The 23,848-nt window shown below is 37.8% G+C and overlaps 1 protein-coding gene across 5 annotated transcripts in view; it reads left to right on the forward strand.

Annotated features, from left to right (window-relative positions):
- GPBP1 (GC-rich promoter binding protein 1) overlaps positions 1–21,535 on the forward strand; it is a 90,621-nt gene extending 69,086 nt beyond the window's left edge. For 3 of the 5 annotated variants that reach the window (NM_001331037.2, NM_022913.4, NM_001203246.2), the window contains 6 exons: positions 3,156–3,340; positions 3,931–4,071; positions 6,265–6,432; positions 7,810–7,997; positions 18,036–18,138; positions 19,450–21,529. In NM_001331037.2, the coding sequence (NP_001317966.1) occupies positions 3,156–3,340; positions 3,931–4,071; positions 6,265–6,432; positions 7,810–7,997; positions 18,036–18,138; positions 19,450–19,608 (944 nt within the window). In that variant the 3' untranslated portion in view covers positions 19,609–21,529. Of the gene's footprint in view, positions 1–3,155; positions 3,341–3,930; positions 4,072–6,264; positions 6,433–7,809; positions 7,998–18,035; positions 18,139–19,449 lie in introns of all 5 variants that reach the window. The other 2 variants (NM_001127235.2, NM_001127236.2) reach the window with 2 other exon arrangements.

Genomic DNA, 23,848 nt, shown 5'->3' on the forward strand with positions numbered 1-23,848 from the left:
GCAACCTCCACCTCCCGGGTTCAAGCAGTTCTCTGCCTCAGTCTCCCGAGTAGCTGGGATTACAGGCGCCTGCCACCATACCTGGCTAATTTTTGTATTTTTAGTAGAGATGGGGTTTCACCATATTGGCCAGGCTGGTCTTGAACTCCTGACCTCGTGATCCACCTGCCTCGGCTTCCCAAAGTGCTGGGATTATAGGCATGAGGCACCGTGCCTGGCCTAATACGAATTCTTAATAAGCACAATAACGGTATATCCCTCCCCTTTCCTCTCAGTCCCTATCCTCTTTCTTCAGGGACTTTTGTCATCTCTTACTCTGCTACCTACTCTTCTGTGAATGATTTCTTAGGTTTCACTTTCCTTCTTTATAGAATATTTCATCATTCTTTGTACTGAAGACCTCATTGAGGAACTAGCCAGAATATTTCTTACTCCTAGGCATCTAGGAATCCAGCTTTAGGAAAGGTGAAATTTGTACTCAGAAACTATATTGAGGCTTAAAGATAGTATATCTACTTGCCTATCTAGTTTTCATGTCTTCTGCTTCCTTGTTTTTGTTTTGAGACAGGGTCCCACTCTGTGGCCCAGACTGGAGTACAGTTGTGCCATCACAGCTCACTACAGCCTCAACCTGGGCTCAAGGGATTCTCCTATGTCAGCCCCCCAAGTAGCTAAGACTACAGGTGCACATCACTGTGTCTGGCTAATTGAAAAAATTTTTTTTTGTAGAGACAAAGTTTCACTATATTGCCCAGGCTGGTCTTGGACTCCTGGACTCAAGCGGTCCTCCCACCCTGGTCTCCCAAAGTGCTGGGATTACAGGCATGAGCCACCACACCCAGCCTACTTCCTGGATCTGATACCTTCATATTTATAAAAATTTTTATTTCTTCTTATATCTTCAGCTTTCCACATTGGATCATTTTCCTTCTGCCTAAAGTACATTCTTTAGAATTAGTAAGGATCTTTTGAATTATTCTATTTTTATCAAAGTTGCATTTCTGCCTTCTACCATATCTGGCATTTTCAAGTCCTGATCCCTTTGAGGCTCTATGTGGTAGATTAGGTCCTCCTCAGCTGTTAGGTTCCTTTGTGTACACTCTAAATTGAAACTTTTTATTTACTTCTCTAGAACTGTGTGTTGAAATCATTTTCTTGCTGATGACTCTACTCCTATTTTATATAGTTGTGTTTGGTTTCCTCCCTTACAGTAATTTTAATATAAGAATCTAGAAGAAGATAAACTTGTGTGCTTAGCCACATTGAACTAGAAGTCTCTGTTAGCCATGTTTAAACTTACTTAGTTGTAGTATAGTGATAGAACTGCCCCCTGCTTTAACACCTGGATTCCTCTCAGATGAGATTACCTTTCACATTTTGTAGCACTGATCATTCCTCAGATTCCTGGGCTTTACTCAATTTAGATTTTGAGTTACATGCTAAGATTTTCTCTCACATTTTATTAATGTCAAGAATTTTTTTTATACTTCATCCATGCCATTATCATCTGTTTACCAAAAATAATTGGAAATCTTACATTGTTGAGTACAATCCTAATATTATTTACTATTCTTTGTTTGAGATTTTTTTTTTTTTTTTTTTTTTTTGAGATGGAGTCTTGCTCTGTCGCCCAGGCTGGAGTGCAGTGGCGTGATCTCGGCTTACTGCAACTTCTGCCTCCCAGGTTCAAGTGATTCTCCTGCCTCAGCCTCCCGAGTAGCTGGGATTATAGGCACATGCCAACACGCCCCGCTAATTCCTTTTTGTATTTTTAGTAGAGACGGGGTTTCACCATGTTGGCCAGGCTGTTCTTGAGCTCCGGACCTCATGGTCTGCCCGCCTCATCTCCCAAAGTGCAGGGATTACAGGCTTAAGCCATCACGCGCAGCCTGTTTGAGATCTTTATTCATTTTTGTTTTGTTAACTTTGTTGTGTAATATCAGAAAAGCTATACTTTGGTAGTAATACTTTGTGTGTTTTTGTGTGCCAGAAGTTGTCTTTTTTAGCCCTTTATATTGGGCTTTTTTTAGACCGTCAGGAAGTTTCAATCTTTACCCTAGTAAGTCAACATGTGTTTAATTTTTGGAAAGATGAACCTTTTCTCAGATTATTTTAAGCCCTTGTTCTTTTTATCCTTTAGCATTTCAATAGGTGAAGCACCATACCGGCTTTATCTTTTGGAGAGCTTGAATCCTCCCATGAACTGGAGAGTCCCTCCGGGTTTCCCTAGGAGTCCATATTTAGTTTTGGGTTTTGAGATGATCCATGAGGAAGCTTGATTTAGTTTTTGAGGAGGGAATCATTACAGATATCTACCCAGCTCACTAATTCACATGATCTTATTTAATGTGGAGAACTTAATTTATTCTAAACTTTCCAGCTGTGAAACTGATGCTTTTAAAAGTTTTTGTAAGGGAAGAAAGAAAGACTTCACTGCAATGTCTGTTTGATTACACACACACATTGATTAAATTATAGGAATAATAGGTATTTTTGGCAACTGCAGTAGTCTTGAGAAAAGTCTGCCTTTAGCAATTATTCGTAGTATTTATCTTCAGAAATCAGGATTGAGTTGGTTGGTCTGCATTCATATAATGCTTTGAATGTAGATAAATGGTCAATAAATACATGAATGAATTGATATTGTGAAATAGAATTCTCAGTCATAACTGAAGTATTTAGAAATAAAAGGAATGTAATTTCTTGCTTATTGGTAATAACTTTGTAAGTGGAGTAAAAAGAATGAAAAAATTGAAATTTTAATTCTCTTCAAATGGGGAAGGGAAAATAGAAATGTATTTTATATTCTAAATCTTAAGAGTCATTAGGTTGATGTTTGCAATTTTTTATAGTTAATGCAAGGCATGTTAAAATATAATTTGTCTTGGTTTTAACATTCTGAGCCACTGTGTAGCAGAATTTATCTGTATTACTTGACATTGCCCAATTCTTCCTATATTCTGTGGGATAATGTTTTAGCTTTACTTGTTCAATTGGAATATAGTTTGTACTTTTTTAGTTTAGTTATTTTACCCAGGAGGCAGCTGTTAGTTAAAAAAAAAAAAAAATTTGGAATATACTGTTCTTTTGGTGGTTTTATTCTATACTAAAACTTGAAATTGTGAGTGACTCTTGGTCATGCTTTATTTATGCAGAATATCCTCCGAATCCTAAATCTAGAGCTCCAAGGATGCTGGTCATTAAGAAAGGTAATACAAAAGACTTACAGCTATCTGGATTCCCAGTAGTAGGAAATCTTCCGTCACAGCCAGTTAAGAATGGAACTGGTCCAAGTGTTTATAAAGGTTTAGTCCCTAAACCTGCTGCTCCACCTACAAAAGTAAGTTCTAAATTACCACAAATGTAAATTTTGAGTTGATAACCAATTTATGTCCTATGGGGGGAAATGTTAAAGAATTTAAAGTGTGTATGGAGGTACTTCGTGGGGTGCTGAGTTCTAGGTGGCAAGAGTTGACCCATATGTGCTCTTAATTATCTTTGATGTGGTGTGTGCGTGTGTGTGGTTTTATTGTTTTAGCAGTAGTAAGTGAAACTTAAAAATTTTTTTTTTTTGCTAGATGTAGTTGTGATATATTTGCTTAATGATAATATATAATGCTGTTTTACCTGGTGCTCAGTTTTAGGTTTTGGAAACTCACATGTTTTTTCTTATTCTCAAGTGAAAGAAACCCAACTTTATGTAGCTTTGGAAAAATAGCAATTTAGTTAGATACCTAAATGTTCAGTTTTTATTTTATTTGTTGAAAAAGAAAGGGACAGAGAACTATGTAGGAATAATGCAGTGTGATACAAAAATAATTGTTTCCATGAGCCTAGCGTAGTCATTTTTGTTTTATAATATTCACTGTTTTTGTCTTTCTCCTGTAACCTGTTTTTGATAGCCATTAATGTTTGTGTGTTTTTCTTTAGCCTACACAATGGAAAAGCCAAACAAAAGAAAATAAAGTTGGAACTTCTTTCCCTCATGAGTCCACATTTGGCGTTGGCAACTTTAATGCTTTTAAATCAACTGCCAAGAACTTTAGTCCATCTACAAATTCAGTGAAAGAGGTATGACATTAAAAATCACACTTGAGGAATGTAACATTTTAATTATGATAGTTTAACAGTGAATAAAAGGTAGAAATTCATTAAATGAATACATTAAAATGAGTTTCATTCCTTCAGAAAACTGGATTCATTTACTTCATTTGTTAACCAATTTTGCACTTTGGGAAAGTAGGAATCATTTAAAATATTTTAAATGAAAATTCCCAGCTCATTCCTATAATCCCAACATTTTGGGAAGTGGGACAGGAGGATCACTTGAGCCCAGGAATTTCAGACCAGCCTCGGCAATATGGTGAAACCCTGTCTCTACTTAAAAAAAAATAGCTGGGCATGGTGGTATGTGCCTGTGGTCCCAGATCTTGGGAGGCTGTTGTGGGAGGAACACCTGAGCCTGGGAATGTCAAGGCTGCAGCAAGCTGTGATTGTGCCACTGTACTCAAACCTGGGCAACAGAGTGAGACCCTGTCTCAAAAGTGGTGGCAGAGTGGGGATGGGGGGGAATTCCAAACATCCTAATAAACAAAGAATAATTTTTTGGGGGGTGGTAGGAGGGACAGAGTCTCTGTTGCTCAGGCTGGAGTACAGTGGCTCGTTTGTGGCTCACTGGTGCCTTGACCTCCTGGGCTCAAGCAGTCCTCCCATCTTAGTCTCCTGATTGTCTAGGACTACAGGTGCTTGCCACTGGGCCAGCTAATTTTTTACTTTTTGTAGAGACGAGGATCTTGCTATGTTGTCCAGGCTGGTCTCAAACTCCTGGTGTCAAGTGATCCTCTCTCCTCAGCTTCCCAGTTCCTGGGATTACAGGCATGATCCACCACACCTGGACCAAGAGTAATTTTTAAGAAAACAATTAAGAAAATTGCAATTTTCTTAATTTGATACTTGTGATAGTTACCTTGTAGGATTGAAATTAACTAATGAGGATTTGTATTGTATAATGTCTTCTTTTGGGGATGATGGACATTTTATTACTATTAACACTGATTGGGGGGAAAGGAGGAACAAGAGAGAAAGGTATGTATTGTTACTGTACTGACTGTGAGTACCTGGTAGTTCAGGTATTTTCTTTCTCATTTGATCAAGGTTTTGAAACTCCCAGAACAGGGAGTTCTCTGACCAGTCTAGTGTCAAAGGACACCCATAGCACTTATATTATTATACCTGAAATTGCTTTGGGTACTGTATTGGAACCCCTCATATACTATTTTTTTTTTTTTTTTTTTTTTTTTTGAGACGGAGTCTCGCTCTGTCGCCCAGGCTGGAGTGCAGTGGCGGGATCTCGGCTCACTGCAAGCTCCGCCTCCCGGGTTCACGCCATTCTCCTGCCTCAGCCTCCCAAGTAGCTGGGACTACAGGCTGGGCATGTAGCCACTACGCCTGGCTAATTTTTTTGTATTTTTAGTAGAGACGGGGTTTCACCGTTTTAGCCGGGATGGTCTCGATCTCCTGACCTCGTGATCCGCCCGCCTCGGCCTCCCAAAGTGCTGGGATTACAGGCGTGAGCCACTATTTTTTATTTATGATCTCAGACAGAATTTTTGAGCTTTGAGGGAAGGACTAGCATTCCTAGCTGCTTAATTCTGCTAAGATTAGTTATAATATACATACATTAATGCCAACAAGTAAGCATTATTATGGTTTGTTTCCGTGACTAATAATCCATATGACACAGAGTTTTAACATTCTGTTTTGTGTTCCACTGTCAAAACACCAAAGAACCAAAAACAAAAGGATTCTTTCTCCTCTCCTCCCTGCCATCTCACAAACATTTTACCAGGTGAAATCCACTCTTATAAACCCTATGTATGTGTATAAATAATTATAAAATACATTTTATTGGAGCTGTTACTGAACTCTAGAACTCTGTGTAACACAGTTTGAAAAGCTGCTCTTCTGTGTATTATAGAAAAGTTTAAACAATTCTAGGATGCATTTATAAAATAATAGACACCTAATTTAGAATCATAGTTCTGAGTATTATCAGACCTTCATTGTTTGTGGGATAAGAAAATTATTTTGTTGACTCATTCAGTAGGGGAAAAAACAGGGATAGAACTAGACTGTAACATAGACATTATAATCAATTTTATTTTGTGAGTAAAGGTAAAATAGGAAGCTGTGGTAGTAGTGAATTTTATGTTGACATTGATTCCTTGGCTACATATTTATCAGTATTTCTGAATTTCCTCTTAGTGTAATCGCTCAAATTCCTCTTCTCCTGTTGACAAACTTAATCAGCAGCCTCGTCTAACCAAACTGACACGAATGCGCACTGATAAGAAGAGTGAATTTTTGAAAGCATTGAAAAGAGACAGAGTAGAAGAGGAACATGAAGATGAAAGCCGTGCTGGCTCAGAGAAGGTAATTGAATTTATAGCAATACTTGATTTGACATTGATATGTCATTGAAATATTTGAGCATGTATTAGGACCTTGGAATACATTTGAATCATTTCCTTGGAAAGAAACTTGGAAAGCCATTTGCATAAATAATGACTTGGCTTCTCCCCTCCTCTCTCCTTTTCTCGCCTCCCCCCTTCCCCCTCCCCCTTCCCCTCTCCCCTTCCCCTCCTTCCCCCCTCCCCGTCCTTCCCCCTCCCCTTCCCGTCCTTCCCCCTCCCCTTCCCTCCTTCCCCTTTCCCCCTTCCCTCCTTCCCCTTTCCCCCTTCCCTCCTTCCCCTTTCCCCCTTCCCTCCTTCCCCTTTCCCCCTTCCCTCCTTCCCCTTTCCCCCTTCCCCCTCCCCTCCTTCCCCCTTCCCCCTCCCCCTCCTCCTCGTTTGAGACAAAGTCTCACTCTATCACCCAAGCGGAGTGTAAGGGCATCATCTTGGGCTGCAGCAGACTCCACTTCCCAGGTTCAAGCAATTCTTGTTCCTCAGCCTTCCTGGTAGCTGGGACTATATTTATGTGCCACCACACCTGGCTAATTTTTGTGTTTTTTGTACGTTTGGCTAATTTTTTCATTTTTTGTAGAGACGGGGTTTCACCACGTTGGCCAGACTGGTCTTGAACTCCTGACTTCAGGTGATCCGCCTGCCTTGGCCTCCCAAAGTGTTGGGATTACAGGCGTGAGCCACTGTACCTGGCCATGACTTCATTTCTAAAGTAGATTTGCTTCATTCTATAGTTTCTGTGGAAAAATACATTTAAAAAGCATTCTTGTTTATATCTGCTCTCTTTTGCTTGTCCCATCTTGCCTGCCTTCATGCTTTTAATTTTGCATTTGTTGTATAGATATGAATACTTAGGGTAAGAAAGCTTTGGATATCCATCCTGGCTTAATTTTTCATTCCTAAATTTAACAATTATAAGTATTACGTTTATGGTTGTTGGTTTTTTTTTTTTTTTTTAGAGTTTTGCTCTTGTCTGGAGTATAGTGTACAATGGCATGATCTTGGCTCACTGCAACCTCCACCTCCTAGGTTCAAGCAATTCTCCTGCCACAGCCTCCCAAGCAGCTAGGACTACAGGCGTGTATCACCACGCCCAGCTAATTTTTTTGTATTTTTAGTAGAGATGGGGTTTCACCATTTTGGCCAGGCTCGTCGCAAACTCCTGACCTCAGATGATCCACCCGCCTTGGCCTTCCAAAGTGCTGGGATTACAGGGGTGAGCCACTGCGCCTGGCCGCATTTATGTATTTTCAATGGAAGCTTAGTTAGGATCTATTAAAAGTTTTTAATAACTGTATTCTGTAGAACTCATTCTTTTTTTTTTTTTTAACTCTCTAAAAATCAGGATGACGACTCATTTAATTTACATAACAGCAATAGTACTCACCAAGAAAGGGATATAAACCGAAACTTCGATGAAAATGAAATTCCTCAAGAGAATGGCAATGCCTCAGTGATTTCCCAGCAGATCATTCGGTCTTCAACCTTCCCACAAACTGATGTTCTTTCAAGTTCACTTGAGGCAGAACACAGGCTAGTATTTGTTTGTACTTTTTGCTCAGCATTTTCTGTATTCGAGATTTCAATATTATAGAGTTTTTACGTGATTTAACAGGTTTATTGGAATACAACTTACGCCATAAATTTCACCCATTATGATATACAGATGGTTTTTAATATATTCAAAGTAGCCCTTTGTTCACTCGCATTTACTTTTCATTTGCACTCTGTCCTAGGCAGCTACTATTCTTTCTATAGATTTGCCTTGTGTATGTATCTTATATAAGTGGAATAATATAGTATGTGATTTTTGATGTCTAGCTTCTTTCACTAAGTATAATATTTTCAAGTTTTATTTGCATTGTAAGCACGTCAGTACTTTGTTCCTTTTTATTGCTGAATAGTACACTATATGACTATACTGCTTTTTTGTTCATCAGTTGATGAATATTAGTTGTTTCCACCTCTTTTTTTTTTTTTTTTAACAGTAGGCTCTAGTCCAATCTACTTTTTGACTGTTTTGGATAATGCTGCTGTGAACATTCATATATAAGTTCTTGTGTGGATATGTTTTTATTTCTGTTGGATAGATACCTAGGAGTTGAATTGCTGGGACATATGATAGTTGTGTTTCACATTTTTAGAAACTGACAAACTATTTTCCAAAATGACTATGTCATTTTACTTCCTTATCAGCAATATAGAAGGTTCTAGTTTCTCCACATTCTTACCAACACATGGTACCATCTATCTTTGATTACAGTCATTCTAGTGGGTGTGAAGTATGATTTCCCTAATGACTAATAGTGTTGAGTATCTTTTTATGTGCTTATTGGCCATTTATCCTCTTAGGAGAGAAATAACTGTATAAATACTTCGCTCATTTAAAAATTACATTTTCTTACTAAGTTGTAAGAGTTCTTTATATATTTGTGTATAAGTCTCATATATGATTGGCAGATAATTTCTCCCATTCTGTGAGTTTTTTCATTCTCTCAGTAGTGCAATCACCTCCCACCCACCCCCACCCCCACCCCCACAGGCACCTTTTGAGATGAGGTCTTTCTGTGTTGCCCAGACTGGTCTCAAGTGATCCTCCTGAGTAGCTGGGATTACAGGCTTGCACCACCATGCACGGCTTCAGTGGTACCTATTGAAGGGCAGAAAGTTTTAATTTTGATGTAGTTCATTTTTTTCCTTGTATGGTTTATGCAGGTTTCCTGGATGATGTGAGGTAGGAGTTCAGACTCATCCTTTCCCACGTGGACAGCGAATTGTCCCAATATGTGATTTATTTTTCGAGACAGTGTCTCACTCTGTCACCCAGGCCGGAGTGCAGTGGTGCGGTATTAGCTCACTGTAACCTCTGTCTCCCAGGGTCAAGTGATCCCCCCACCTCAGCCTACCAAGTAGCTGGGACCACAGGTGTGCACCACCATACCCAGCTAATTTTTGTATTTTTTTGTAGTGATGAGGGTTTCACTATGTTGCGTAGGCTAGTCTCAAACTCCTGAGCTGAAGCGATCCTCCCGTCTCGCCCTCCCAAAGTGCTAGGAGTACAGGCATGAGCCACAGTGCCCAGCCAGTCATTTAGTTTTTATTGTAAATTTTTTTTTTTTTTTTGACAGGTCTTGCTCTGTTGCCCAGGCTGGAGTTCAGTGGCAGGATCTTGGCTCACTGCCACCTCACCTCCTGGGTTCCAGAGATTCTTGTGCTTCAGCCTCCTCAGTAGTTGAGAATACAGGCACACGCCACCATGCCTGGCTAATTTTTGTCTTTTAGTAGAGATGGGATTTCATCATGTTGGCCAGGCTGTTCTCGAATTCCTGACCTCAAGTGATCCACCTGCCTCAGCCTCCCAAAGTGCTAGGATTACAGGTGTGAGCCACCACTCCCAGCCTGCTGTAAACTTTTAACAGCACTTTTTGCTTCCATCAGTATAGTCTAAAGCGTTTTAAAAAATAGTGATCTCTTAAGTGGTTTAGTCTTAGAATTGAAGAGTATTCATATCTAGAATTTATTTTTGTTTTTTTGTAGTTAAAAGCAGGTATTTTTGCAGAAATGACATACCCTTACTGTATTCCTTAAATAACCACATGGTTCGGCATAACTAAAAGATGTTGAAAACTACGAAAGCAAAGAAAGTTAATAGTTTATACCCTTAGATTATCATATTATTATTCTGTAATTGCTTTGTATAAACTGATTTTTTTTTAACTTAAAAAGTCTTACATCTTCTAAGAGCAAGCTTAGGGCTAAGTTACATTTATTAACAGCCCAGTTGATTGACTTGACTTTTTGCCAGTTCTAGAACCTCATTTAATTCTAAGACAGTGGAAAACTGGGTTATATCTCCTCTTGGATAACTTTTGTGGAATTTATTTATAATTTCAACTTCTATTTTAATTAAGAACATAAGCTACATGAGGCCAAACATTTTGTCCATCTTGTTCACTATATCTAGCACCTAGAATGGTGCTTGGCACATTACTTTGCTTAAATTTGTTAAATGAATGAGGGAAGTAAATATTGCAGTATTTTTCTACCTGTTATGTAAATCTGTAGTTTTTTTGAGGAATATTTTAATTTTACTTTTTATTTCTAATTTTTTCAAATGTTTTAATAGTTTATATTTCTCCTGCCAAGGGTTATGGCTGCCCCCTTAAAAACAAAAAACAAAAAAAACATAGAGATGAGCTCTCACTGTGTCACTGTGTTTCCCAGGCTGATCTCAAAAACTCCTGGACTCAAGTGATACTCCTGCCTCAGCCTCCCAGAGGGCTGGGAGTAGAGGCGTGAGCCACGACACCTGGCTAGATCTTCTTTCGTTCTTTTCTTTCTTTTTTTGAGGCAGGGTCTTATTCCATTGTCCAGCCTGGAGTGCAGTGGCACAGTGATGGTTCACTGATACCACTCAAATGATGCTCCTGCCTCAGCCATTGGAACAGCTGGGATTACAGGTGTGTACCACCATGCCTGGCTAACTTCTGTATTTTTTGTAGAGATGGGGTTTCGCCATGTTGCCCAGGCTGGTCTCAAACTCTTGGGCTCAAGCGATCCTCCTGCCTTGGCCTCCCAGAGTGCTGGGATTACAGCCACCATGCCCAGCCCTTCCCCACGCCCCTCGCTTTTTTTCCCTTAGATTGCTCCTTCAGAATAAATCTTTATCTTTCTGTCTTTAATCATATATTATTACTTTATCTTCGTGGTTACTTTTGTTTCCCTTCTCCAAATCATGTCCTGTTTTGCTTCTTAAATGTGGCTGTAACTATTGTATGTGAATGTGTAGGCATTTAATTTTGTAGGCTGGGCGTTGTGGCTCACACCTGTAATCCCAGCACTTTGGAAGGCTAAGGTGGGTGGGTCACTTGAGGTCAGGAATTCAAGACCAGCCTGGCCAACATGGTGAAACCCTGTCTCTACTGAAAATACAAAAATTAGCTGGGCATGGTGGTGCATGCGTGTAATCCGAGCTATTCAGATGGCTGAGGCATGAGAATCACTTGAATCTGGGAGGCAGAGGTTGCAGTGAGCCGAGATCGTGCCATTGCACTCCAGCCTGGATGACAGAGTGAGACTGTCTCAAAAAAAAAAAAAAAAAGAGTAAGTTTTGTATTTGGACCTTTCTCCTAAAATAATTTATTGGGCTGATGATAATTGCATTTGAGAATTAATTTAGCTAGATTAATTTATAACTAACTTAATCAGATATCTATAAATTCACTTGTTTAGACAAAGTATAATTTATTGTACATTTAATGTGAACAGATGAATAAATAACCACACTATTTTTATTGCCTCCCAAATTGTGGAACTTCATGCTACCACATAATACAGTTTATGACTTGTGACTAACAGGCTTGAGTGATGGCTGAAATGTCAAATACAGAAAAAATTTAGCAAACATGAATTCTTTTTTAAAAAGATTAACATAAACAGATATTTCAGAATTTTTTTGATCATTCTAATGAATCACCTTGTTTTTCCCCCTCTGCCATTTGAAGCCACTATTCTATAGTATGGATATAAATTGTGAAACTGTTTTCCTGTGATCAAGATTTATGTGTGTTCACGTCCTCTCTCTCTTCTCTCCCCTTCTCTTTCCCTTTCTCTCCCCTTTCCTCTCCTCCCCTCTTCCTCTCTTTCCTTTCCTCTTCCCCCTCTTATTCCAAATAATGCTGTTATCAGCATCCTTGTATTTATATTCTTGAATATTTGTGTAAATGTGTAGGTAACAGATTACTAGGAGTGAATTTGATTGGTCAGATGGCATACATATTTAAAATAATCAGCTACTGCCATGTTACCCAAAAACATTCTGATAATTTGCACTCTCACCAATGATCATTGAAATATTTCTAGTCACACAATTGGTAGAAAGGGAAAAGGCCTGTGTGTAGAAAGGAGAATAAAACACAAACATATCAGATATTCTAATGATAGTAAAAGATGAATGTTACCTCTTAAGGAGATAGAGCATAGGCAGTAAAAGAATACAGATAAAAGATTTTTTTAACTCCTAGAATCTATTCATTAAGGCCATAGTGAGAAAGTTGTCACCTAATATCTTGTCTTCTGATTTCCCTTCAGTACTTAGTAGCAAAAAAACAGTTGGCCCATACCTTTAGAAAATGTTTCTTATAACCCCTAATAGACATATCTAATGTTTAATTATATTTTTTTAATCTGCAGAGCAGATGTTTAGTGCAGGAAGCATTTTGATGGTTCTTCTTTCATTTAGGAAGACTTGTGGAAGAGAGACTTTAGTTTCATAACTTGACAGAATTTGGTTCTCTGTGACTACTAACAGGAGAAAATGGAGAGGATGAGATTTAGAAACTAAGGCAAATCAAGATGAAAACATCCGGCTGGGGACAATGACTCACGCCTATAATCCCAGCACTTTGGGAGGCTGAGGCAGGTGGGTCACTTAGGCCAGGAGTTTGAGACCAGCCTGGCCAACATGGTGAAACCCCATCTCTACTAAAAATACAAAAATTAGCTAGGCGTGGTGGCGTGTTCCTGTATTCTCAACTACTGAGGAGGCTGAAGCACAAGAATCTCTGGAACCTAGGAGGTGAGGTGGCAGTGAGCTGAGATCGCACCACTGAACTCTAGCCTGGACGGCAGAGCAAGACTCCATTCTCAAAAAATAAAAAATAAAAGACAAAAACATCCTAAATTGGAGTAAGCTCTAGAGGGAGGGGGAAAAAAAAACACCCCATACTGCATGAAGAGATAGTATCAGTGATGACCTACTTGAATGATTATTTTAGTATATATGTTTTAATTTTTTTTGAGACTTTATAGATTACATTGTTTTCGTCTTTTTAAAACAGTGGATACTTTTCTTTTATATTTAGGTTACTTTAAAAGTTTTAACCAAGTTTTTTTCCCTTAAACCATATAGTTTAAACTATAAAAAGAGAGAGTTATGCATACGAATACCATTATCTAGTGTGGACATGAAGATGAAGGGGGCAAACAATAAGAACATTTTGTTATTTGCCAAGAATAGAATAAAATTGTGGATTCAAGATTTCAGATTTGGTAGCCGCTAGTTGGAATAGAGGGATAGTTTTATAGAAATGTTGCACTTGCTGAAAAAGATCCTAAGACAAGTAAAGGGGCTAGTTGATATGAAACTGTTTTTATTTAAATTTCTTAGTTTGAGTTTCCTTGACTGTTTAAGTAGAATATGTGTTTGTAAATGTTTCAAAGACGTATATCAATACCTTTTTCCCCACTCTTAAGCTAAGAGAGTTAATGGCTTTTAGATTTTAGGGGTTTTTTTCCCTGTCAAAATGGAATGTTACTTCTTTTCCATTGCTTCATATTTTCTGTAAACTTTGTGACTTCTTAAGTTATATACATATAAATACTCATATTAGTTGAATTCAATAATATGGGGCAGTGATAGTTTTTGTTTTTGTTTTTTTTTTGAGATGGAGTTTCACTCTTGTCACACAGGCTGGAGTACCGTGGTGTGACCTCTGCTCACTGCAACCTCCACCTCCCGGGTTCAAGTGATTCTCCTGCCTCGGCCTCCCGGAATAGCTGGGATTACAGGCACCCGCCACAACACCTGGCTAATTTTTTGTATTTTTAATAGAGACGAGGTTTCACCATGTTGGCCAGGCTGGTCTCGAACTCCTGACCTCAGGTGATCCACCGCCTTGGCCTCCCAAAGTGCTGGGATTACAGGCGTGAGCCACTGCGCCTGGCCAGTGATAGGTTTTTTAAGGATAATGCTTTTCAAATATTAAAATATGAAATATTCAATACTAAGGCACATAGATCATTCTTAGTTTTATTGTCAAGTTTTAGCCACTTTATCAGGGTATCGAGGTAGCCTCAACATCAAAGGGATACAGTTGTCAACTTGTTTAAGCAGACACCAAATTAGTGGAAGTAAATGCTAAAGAAATTCAGAGGGTTTGGGGATAGAGATCATTATGACTTGGGTACCAGTCAGAGGTTTCTTTCTTTCTTTCCTTTTAAAATAGTTAATTGTATAAATATTTATTTTTTAGAGACATGGTCTCACTGTATCTCAGGCTGGTCTTGAACTCCTAGCCTCAAGTAATCCTCATGCCCTGGCCTCTTGAATTGCTGGGATTACAGGCATGAACCATCACACCTGGCCCTAGTCAGAAAGATTTAATTGGGACCTAAATTAAATCTTGAAAGGGTTAGACGTAAATAAGGGCAAGCGTGCTAGAAAAAGAAAGGATGTAAAGACATGGTTAGAATGGTGTATATACCTAGTTTGTTTTAAGGGTGTTGAGTGGGATATTTTGACACAAGCAGGCAATTTACTCACTGAAGTTAAAGATCATATTGAAAAGGCAGGACTTTAGAGATGTCTTATACTTGGTTTGTGATAGAGTAGGAACTGTGACCCAGGTCTTCTAACTTCTAATCCTAGATTTTCTCTACTGAGGAATTTGAATTTGTGACCATGGCACAAACACAGTTAAGGAGTTTGTTCTTTAGAAAGTGAGAAGCCACCGAAAATATTTATCAGAGGATGGTAGTTGTGAAACTGGTATCAGGATGATTTGGCAATAGTTTGAAGGAGAGTGGGAAGGAATAATTGAAATGAAAAAGCAAAGTACAGATAAGGGTTACAGTAATATAGTCAGTCATGCATTGCTTAATGACAGGGATATATTCTGAGAAACGTGTCGTTAGGTGATTTTGTCATGGCGTGAAACTCATAGAGTGTACTTACACAAACTAGATAGTATAGCCCACTACCTACCTAGGCTATATGGTATAGACTGTTATTTCTAGGCTACAAACCTGTATAGCATGTTACTGTACTGAATATTGTATAGTATTTGTAATCATAATACAGTGGTATGTATTTGTATATCTAAGCATATCTAAACATATACAAAGGTACAGTAAGAAAATGGTATTACAGTCTCATGGGATTATGCATCATATGTGCGGTTGTCTGACCAAAATATAGTTACGTGGCACATGTTTGTATGTTTAGGGGGGAAAGGGAAACACAGATTGTTTTTATTTTTTCTTATTTTTCTTTTTGTAGAAATGGAGTCTCACTTTGTTGCCCAGGCTGGTCTTAACTCCTGGGCTCAAGTGATCCTCCCACCTCGGTCTCTCAAAGTGCTGGAATTACAGGCATGAGCCACCATGCTCGGCTAGATTATTTTGAAAGCTATTTCAGGAACAGTTAAAAGCTACAGCCTCTGGTGGAGAAGTAGAAATACTTGCCTTCTGTTATATTCTCTTTCATAATAGTTGATAATTTTTTCCATCTGCATTATTGCTTAGTTACGATTCAGTTTTTAAAAGTAAAACAGATAAAAGTTTGGATCCAGCAAAAGAGCAGTTAGATTGTTTTGCTAGTCTAGATTTAATAGTCTCTGTATTAGGTGTCATTGAATGGTAAAAGTGAATGGAAATGCTATTCCAAAAGGAGGCCATCCAGATTAAAGAGTAAAGATAGTGCATTGGAAGAAGTCGTGGCTAAAAGGAATGAAAGAAGAAATGATTAATGCTGACTGTGACATTTTTGTTCAGAAGCAACAAGGTGCTGTGCAATACATACTAATTTGGGAGACAGAAAACCAAAATTCTATTTGTCTTTGCCATCAAGTAAGCAAGTTATTTTACTTATATGATCTTGATTGTTCATGTGTAAAATGTGGATATCATGTTATGTTTTATTCAAGGTCTCAGATATTCTGTGAGACTCTGAAAAAAGGTCTAAAAGTCTATAAGCAGCTATTGTGTAGCAGGTGCAAGTTAAAAGATGAGTAGGTGTAAATAAGAGGGGACTTAAACGTTTGTGGAACAATGTAATTAAATGATAAAAACTATTAACTCTGTTTTTCAACATAACTCCATCAAGTTCAAGACCCTTTTGTAAGCAATGATAGCAGTCATTTAGACCATCCCTGAAGAACTGAGGGCCCTGGCAGTTTAACCGTGTCAGTGCTGTCTTTTTTACATTAACTGAAGAAAAATGGGCCCCCTCTAAAATTTAAGATTAGGAAATGAAGTCAGAAGGAGCCAAATCAGGACTGAAAGGTGGATGCCTAATGATTTCCCATTGAAACTTTGCAAAGGTGCCCTTGTTTGATGAGAGGAATGAGCAGGAGTATTGTGGTTAAGGACTCTCTGGTGAAGCTTTCCCAGGCATTTTTCTGCTAAAGCTTTCCCAGGCATTTTTCTGCTAAAGCTTTAGCTTTCCTTCTCAAAACACTCTCATAATAAGCAGATGTTACTGTTCTTTATCCCTTCCAAACAACTGTTGCCATGACCTTTGCTCTTGACTGGTCCTCTTTTGCTTTGAGTGGATCCCTTCCACTTCTTGGTAGCTAGTGCTTTGATTGTGATTTGTCTTCTGGATCATACTGGTAAAGCCATGTGCAGTTCTTTGAAGAAATGCTTCAGAATCTTGATCCCACTTGTTTAAACTTTCCATTGAAAGCTCTATTTTTGTCTGCAGATGATGTGGGCACACATTGAGTGGAAATTATTCAACTTTAATTTTTCATTCAGAATCATGTAAGCTGAACCAAGTGAGATGTCTTGTCTGTGGTATTGGCTATTTCTGTTGTTAATCGTCAGTCCTCTTCAGTTAGGGCACTAACAAGATTAATTTTTTCCTTGTCAATTGATGGGGATGATCTGCTGCTGCTTCTGTGAGGGCTTCATCTTCAGAATCACCTCATCTTTTCTTAAAATGAGTTATCTATTTGAAATTTCTTGTTTCCTTGGGGTATTGTCCCCATAAACTTTTCGTAAAGCATCAGTGATTTCATTATTCTTCCACCCAAGTTTCACCATAAATTTGGTATTTGTTCTTGCTTCGATTTTAGCAGAATTCATGTTGATCTGATAGGGGCTTTTCGCAAACTGATGTCTTACCTTTGTGGTGCCTTAAACAAGATTCTGTTGAAACATGTTATCACAAGTTAGCACAAGTTTATTTTGGTGCAGAATTTTTTTCTTGAAATTCTTGCATAGTTTTTCCATGATACACATTTTTTATGAACTTTTTGAAGACTCCTTGTAGGAGTAACAGAAGTACTTAGGGGTTTCATTTTTTAAAAACAAACCCTTTCATATCAATACAAGATATGTGGCCATATAAGAAACAAGCTTGGAGGTTTCCTGATCAAATGAAGTAGCTATTGATGCAGTGTTCATGACTGCCCAAGTAGAAAACCTAATGAGTAGTCAGAAATATGGTGGTACTGAAGAAAAAGAGGAGTGATATTGCTGTTACTTTTAGTATAAGAATTTAGCAGATTTGCTTCACATCTGTTAAAAGTTTCCAGCCTGAAGAGCCTTTGACACCAAGGATTAAGCAGTCAAGGAGTTCATTCTAATTTTAATATCAGTTTATTAATCTTACCTGTTTATTCATTTTCAGAAAGATACTCAAAGCCTGAGCTCAAAAATCCTTTTGATGTGTCTTGGGGTCTTTGTATAATGGATCCTGGTGGATCATGTTTTCTTATACATAATGTAAATGATACTGTCCTACTCAGGGTAAGCTTTACATTAAACTTAATTTCCTCTCCTTTTCAGATTGTTAAAGGAAATGGGCTGGCAGGAAGACAGTGAAAATGATGAAACATGTGCTCCCTTAACTGAGGATGAAATGAGAGAATTCCAAGTTATTAGTGAACAGGTAAGAAAACCTGAATCATACAACTTCACTTTTAAACTGCCCTTATTTAGAACAATATAATTATATGTAAGCATGGAGTGGGGGAGATTTAGGAATTTATCACGATAGGTCAGAATTGCTTTTAAAAAAAAAAAGAGGGAGGACAGGCTTTTGCTATGGTGTCCAGCTGGCCTCTAGAACTCCTGGGTGCCAGGTGATCCTCCAACCTTAGCCTCTGGAGTAACTGGGACTACAGGCAGGAACCACTGCACCTGGTTGAATTGACTTTATAGAAGTCTGCAATAGTGACTTATTTAAACTATTGGGTGTGCAATAGTTAGGAATTAGTGTAAGTGATGTCTATGGATTAGTCATTTTCCAGACCTTTTTTGTTTTGTTTTTTGTTTTTGTTTTTGGCTTTTCTGGGGGAGGAGCAAGAGTGATAAGAAGTAGAGAGTGTTAGTAGCTTCCTAAGTAACTTCATCTTTTATCCTTTTCTTGCACAAGAGTATTTCATATTCTAAAACATCTTGCTTAATGTCTCCCTAGTTACCTTTCTGAAAGAGTATTAGGGAATTTTTGTTAGAGCATCAGGAAGTTGAGATGCTTTTTTTCAAATCGATTATTTGTTTATTTAAAGAGTTGGGGTCTCACTCTGTCATCTAGGCTGGAGTGCAGTGGCTGGTCATAGCTCACTGCATCCCCAAATTTCTGGGCTCAAGCAATACTCTTGCCTCAGCTTCCTGAGCAGCTGGGGCTACTGGCTTGTGCCACTACACTGGGCTTATTTTCTGTCTTTAAATTGTTTCTAATTTGGGCCAACTATCTTTTTTCTTCTTTGATGATGTTTTGACTCAATTCTTATTTATTACCAACCTTTTAGTTATGATTTCTCATTTTCAGAAATAGAGAACTGTATTTTTTCTAGTATCTTCATCTCCGGTTAAACGAGACAATTTTGTAACTTTATATACCTCATTCTACTTTACAAACTATGAACAAAGCAGATTGGGGGGTGTATTAATTTAGGTCAGAATAATAAAAATAACAGATACAGCTTAATGGTTTCTGATTATATTCTGGTAAGTCCCTGAAGGTATTTATTACAGTTGTCACTTGAGGCAATAAAAATGTGGGAAAGTTTAGTACCTTAATCAGTGTGACAATTATTACTCACATCTACTTTGTCTGGATCCAGAATTTTTTCAGAAATATCATTACTTGTGTAGTTTTTGGGTTAGGATACAATTTTATTATATTCATGCTTATATTATTACAGTAGGTTTGTAACTCTTGAGGGATAATTTATTTATTTTGCTGTTAACATTTTAGTTACAGAAGAATGGTCTGAGAAAAAATGGTATTTTGAAAAATGGCTTGATCTGTGACTTCAAGTTTGGACCGTGGAAGAACAGCACTTTCAAACCCACAACTGAGAATGATGACACAGAGACAAGTAGCAGTGATACATCAGATGACGACGATGTGTGAAGGATTTCCTAACAGCTTTAGAAATCTTAGTGTGATACATCTCTCATACAGTTTGGGGTGAATTGTAAAAATGAAGAACTATAATTTATGTAGTGAAATACCCCATTAGAAGAGGATTTTTTGGGGGACTTCAATATGAAGAAAACCAAGAATGTTTTGTTGGGCTGTGTTGAACATTATTTCTTTGTAAATGAATGTTGTAGGAATGAGGACTTGGGTTGGTCCAACATTGACTTTCTTCATCACTGCAACATTTCTCTGACTAGCAATGTGACGATGTAACAAATGAGATTTTCTCATTTAATAATAAAAAATTGTGTAATGTTTTGCAAAGCTTCTGTCTTAAAATGTCCAGGTCTTAAGAAAAAAGGCAGCTTACACTGTTTTGCTTGCAGAGTCATATCTTTTTCGTACAATGGAAATCCTCAAGTCCACTTTGTGCGGTCTCCCTCTCCTTCCCCCAAAAAACAACAACAACAAAACAAAAACCAAAAAGGAAAATGTAGCATGTTGGCTAAAACTGGAGCAAAGTGCACTAAAACAATTTCCTGAACTCACCTGTTGTACTATTCACCTTTTAAACCATAAATTGCTCTTTAGCCATTTGTAGTGCAGTAAATGTTACAGGAAAAGACTTGGCACATTTTCTTCCAAATTTTAAGAGGTGATTTTCAAAAGCTTTATTGGGGTATGTTGTCAGACCAGGGTTTTCAGAGTTGATGGAAAAGAGTCTTGTGAGAAAACTTATTTTGATAAATTATTACACACGCAGAAAAACTGATCACACTGACTGGATCTGTCCACGACATGGAAAATAAACTGGATTTTCAGAATATTGTTGTTTTCTGTAGTGTTCAAGGTATTGTTTCTAAACATAAACATACTCTAAACATGCTTTATTCACTTGTTAAAGTCATACTTTTAAAAGTAATACCTTACTAAAGATGGTGATTACTTTTCCGAGGTCAGAAAAGGAAAGCTAAGCGTTTTCATTATCAAATACACAAGCTTATTAAATGAATGACTGTTAACTACTTTATTTTCATTTGCACATTAATTTTGGAATTGTTTCTGTTTTGCTGCTGACGGAAATACTATTTTGGCTCTGTGTATATTTGTATTTTGATTTTTCTGGTTTGTTTACCCCCATTTGCTTTTAGCTCCCCCTTATGTTTAAATATATTCTAACTTATGTAAAGAGCATAATCTTAGAGCAAAAATACTTGAGGTTTTATGTCAGATCTAATCTTAAGTGTTTGTTGTTTTTTAAAAAGTGTTTTCTCAGATGGCTGCAGTGTTTTTGCTATTTCTGCATAAATACCCTACCTGGACTCCCCAGTTTTCACCAGAAACTGTTATTTTTTTTTGTTGTTGTTCCCACTGAGACTGATGGTGATGGGGAAATTAAAAACAACACACTAGCACACTCCCACAAAACTTGAGGAAGAGTTAGAATGGTAATAAAATATTAAATAGACCTTATACTTAAAATAAGGTTTCACTATATAATTTGTCACAATTCAATCTAATCAGCTAAAGTTAAATGTAGTTAGAATTAGCCACAGGAGAATGTAAAGCATGCTTTGACGAAGCTATCGGTAACACATATTGAATGTCTTTGAGACTCTTAGATTGTACTATTTGCTTAATAGATTAATGAAATTTATCAGATACAACCTGTATTTCCAAAAACAAGCTAGAAGGAACCTGAGGAATGTGGTTTACATTTGAGATCCACCTTACTGTGTTTTCTACTTTCAGAAAAGATTCTGTAGTTTTGGTTTTTGGCATCTTTCTTATACTCAGTTTTTTCTGCCTTAATTCCCATTTACCAGCAGTTAACTCATGTTTATTGTGCTTTCATGCATTGTGATATGGAATGTGTTTAGTAATTTACTCCTTATAAATATGGTAAAGTACAGTGGTATGGTTATTCTATGCATTAAGTTAATGACATTAATAAGCTTGGTTATGAGGGGTTGGAGCCATACATGTAATTTAAGAGAACAGTTAAAAGTGTAACATAGTTTTAGCTTGGTGTCTAAATAATGGGCAGCTGATAAAACAGCTTGGACCATATTGTTTTAAAGAGAGCCTACAAGCACAGAAACTAGTTATAGATCTAATGTGGAATTGCTGAACTCAGAACTAGGCCATGGAAGTCTGAAAAGCAAATATGGCTGTTTCAAACTCATTTTTTTGGCAGCTTTTTTATTTTTAACACTTTATTGAGGTATAAATTGACTTGAACACACAGGTAAAACATACAGTTTACAGTGTTTTGACCTACAACTAAGTGAACATAATCTATTATTCCCCCGAATTTCTTGGTTCCTTTTAAGTCCCTGTCACTAATTCTCCACCCCCCTCTCATTTTATTTTGGTATAAAATGTAATTAATGAGCAAAATTCTTAAGGTAATGACTTAAAATAGCATTTCAAAAACTATTTGCTTGATTTTAGTATAAGGATTAGAATATTTCTGCAGATAATTTCTATTGAAATTGTTAATCTAAAATCAGCTTGACTTAATCAGATTTATATTAACAGAATTCAGTATGTTAAAGGATCTGGTTCCCCCAAAATACTTTGTCCTTTTTTGCTAGTGTTTATGTATACTGTTAGAATGTGGTTATATAAACCTTTTAAATTTAGGAATCTGTTAAATAACTTGTTTTAACACCCCATCCGTCATCATCCCTAATCTGATACTGGAGTCTAAATACATGCTCCATAATCATGCAAACTAAGTTGAATCTAGATGATGAGGGTAGACTGGGTGCGGTAGCTCATACCTGTAATCCCAGGACTTTGGGAGGCCAAGGTCAGCAGATCACCTGAGGTCAGGAGTTAGAGACCAGCCTGGGCCAACGTGGTGAAACCCTGTCTCTACTTAAAAAAAAAAAAATACAAAAATTAGCCGGGCGTGGGGGCATACACCTGTAATTCCAGCTACTCATAGGATATTGAGGCAGGAGAATCGCTTGAACCCAGGAGTCGGAGGTTGCAGTGAGTTGAGATCGTGCCATTGTGCTCCAGCCTGGGCAACAGAGTGAGACTACGTCTCAAAATAAAAAAAAAATGATAACTAGGGTAGAAAGGATACACACTTGTGAAATATTTCTATAAAGTGAGATTTTTATTTTGGCTTACACAATAAGGGATGTGTTACTAGGGCTTTTAAATGATTATCACTAAGAGTTGGATATTTTAACTTTTAGATAGTTAAGTTTCCTGAGGTTATAAAAGTTATTTGGCTGTTAGGGGAACGACAGGACATATCAAGCAATAGAAAAATCCGTGAAAGCCTCCAGATGCCGCAGAGATGCTTCAGATTCTGGTTTTTGTTTTGCTACTTAATATTTCCTTTCTTTAGGCAGGGCTGAATGCTTGCACTTAAAACGATGGGACTCAGAGGACAGCTGTGATTGTTTTAATATTTAACTATGGGGCTGGGCATGGTGGCTCACGCCTGTAATCCCAGCACTTTGGGAGGCTGAGGCGGGAGGATCACCTGAGGTCAGGAGTTCAAGACCACCCTGGCCAACATGGTGAAACCCCATCTGACCCAGTCTGTACTAAAAATACAAAAATTAGCTGGGTGTGGTGGTGCATGCCTCTGATCCCAGCTACTTGGGAGGCTGAGACAGGAGAATTGCTTGAACCTGGGAGGCGGAGGCCATAAGCCATGATTGTACCACTGCACTCCAGCCTGGGTGACAGCGAGACTCTTGATATATATAACTGTATAACTATATATATATAACTATATAACTACATATATAACTATATAAAAACTATAAAACTATGTAAAACTATATATAAGACTATATATATATAAAACTATATATATATAGTTATGGGACACGTGGACCTGAAACATTCGTAGTTTAGGACTTGAGAATGTGTTGTAATTAAGAGGTTTTGTAATTGTGAATTTTTGTTCAGTTGTACAGTTAACTTTAAGTTCATTCTGCCTACCCATATGGATTCGTTTTGTAGAACTACTCTGGCATAGTGATTGAAGGTACAATGTATTATATCATTAGGTCTGGTTGAAGGACACTGCTGAAGCATGTTCCATGCAGCAGTGTCCTAACTTGCAATATGTAAGAGCATGTGTAGTGGTGGGGCCCAAACTTATCTACACCATTGGTATCATTGGGGAGCTTCCCCAATGTGTCCACCATCCCCCACCAACACCCCAGATTGTGGTTTAATTAGACTGGGGCGTGGCCTG

This window comes from Homo sapiens, chromosome 5 (assembly GCF_000001405.40).
Source record: "Homo sapiens chromosome 5, GRCh38.p14 Primary Assembly".
Classification (NCBI taxonomy): domain Eukaryota; kingdom Metazoa; phylum Chordata; class Mammalia; order Primates; family Hominidae; genus Homo; species Homo sapiens.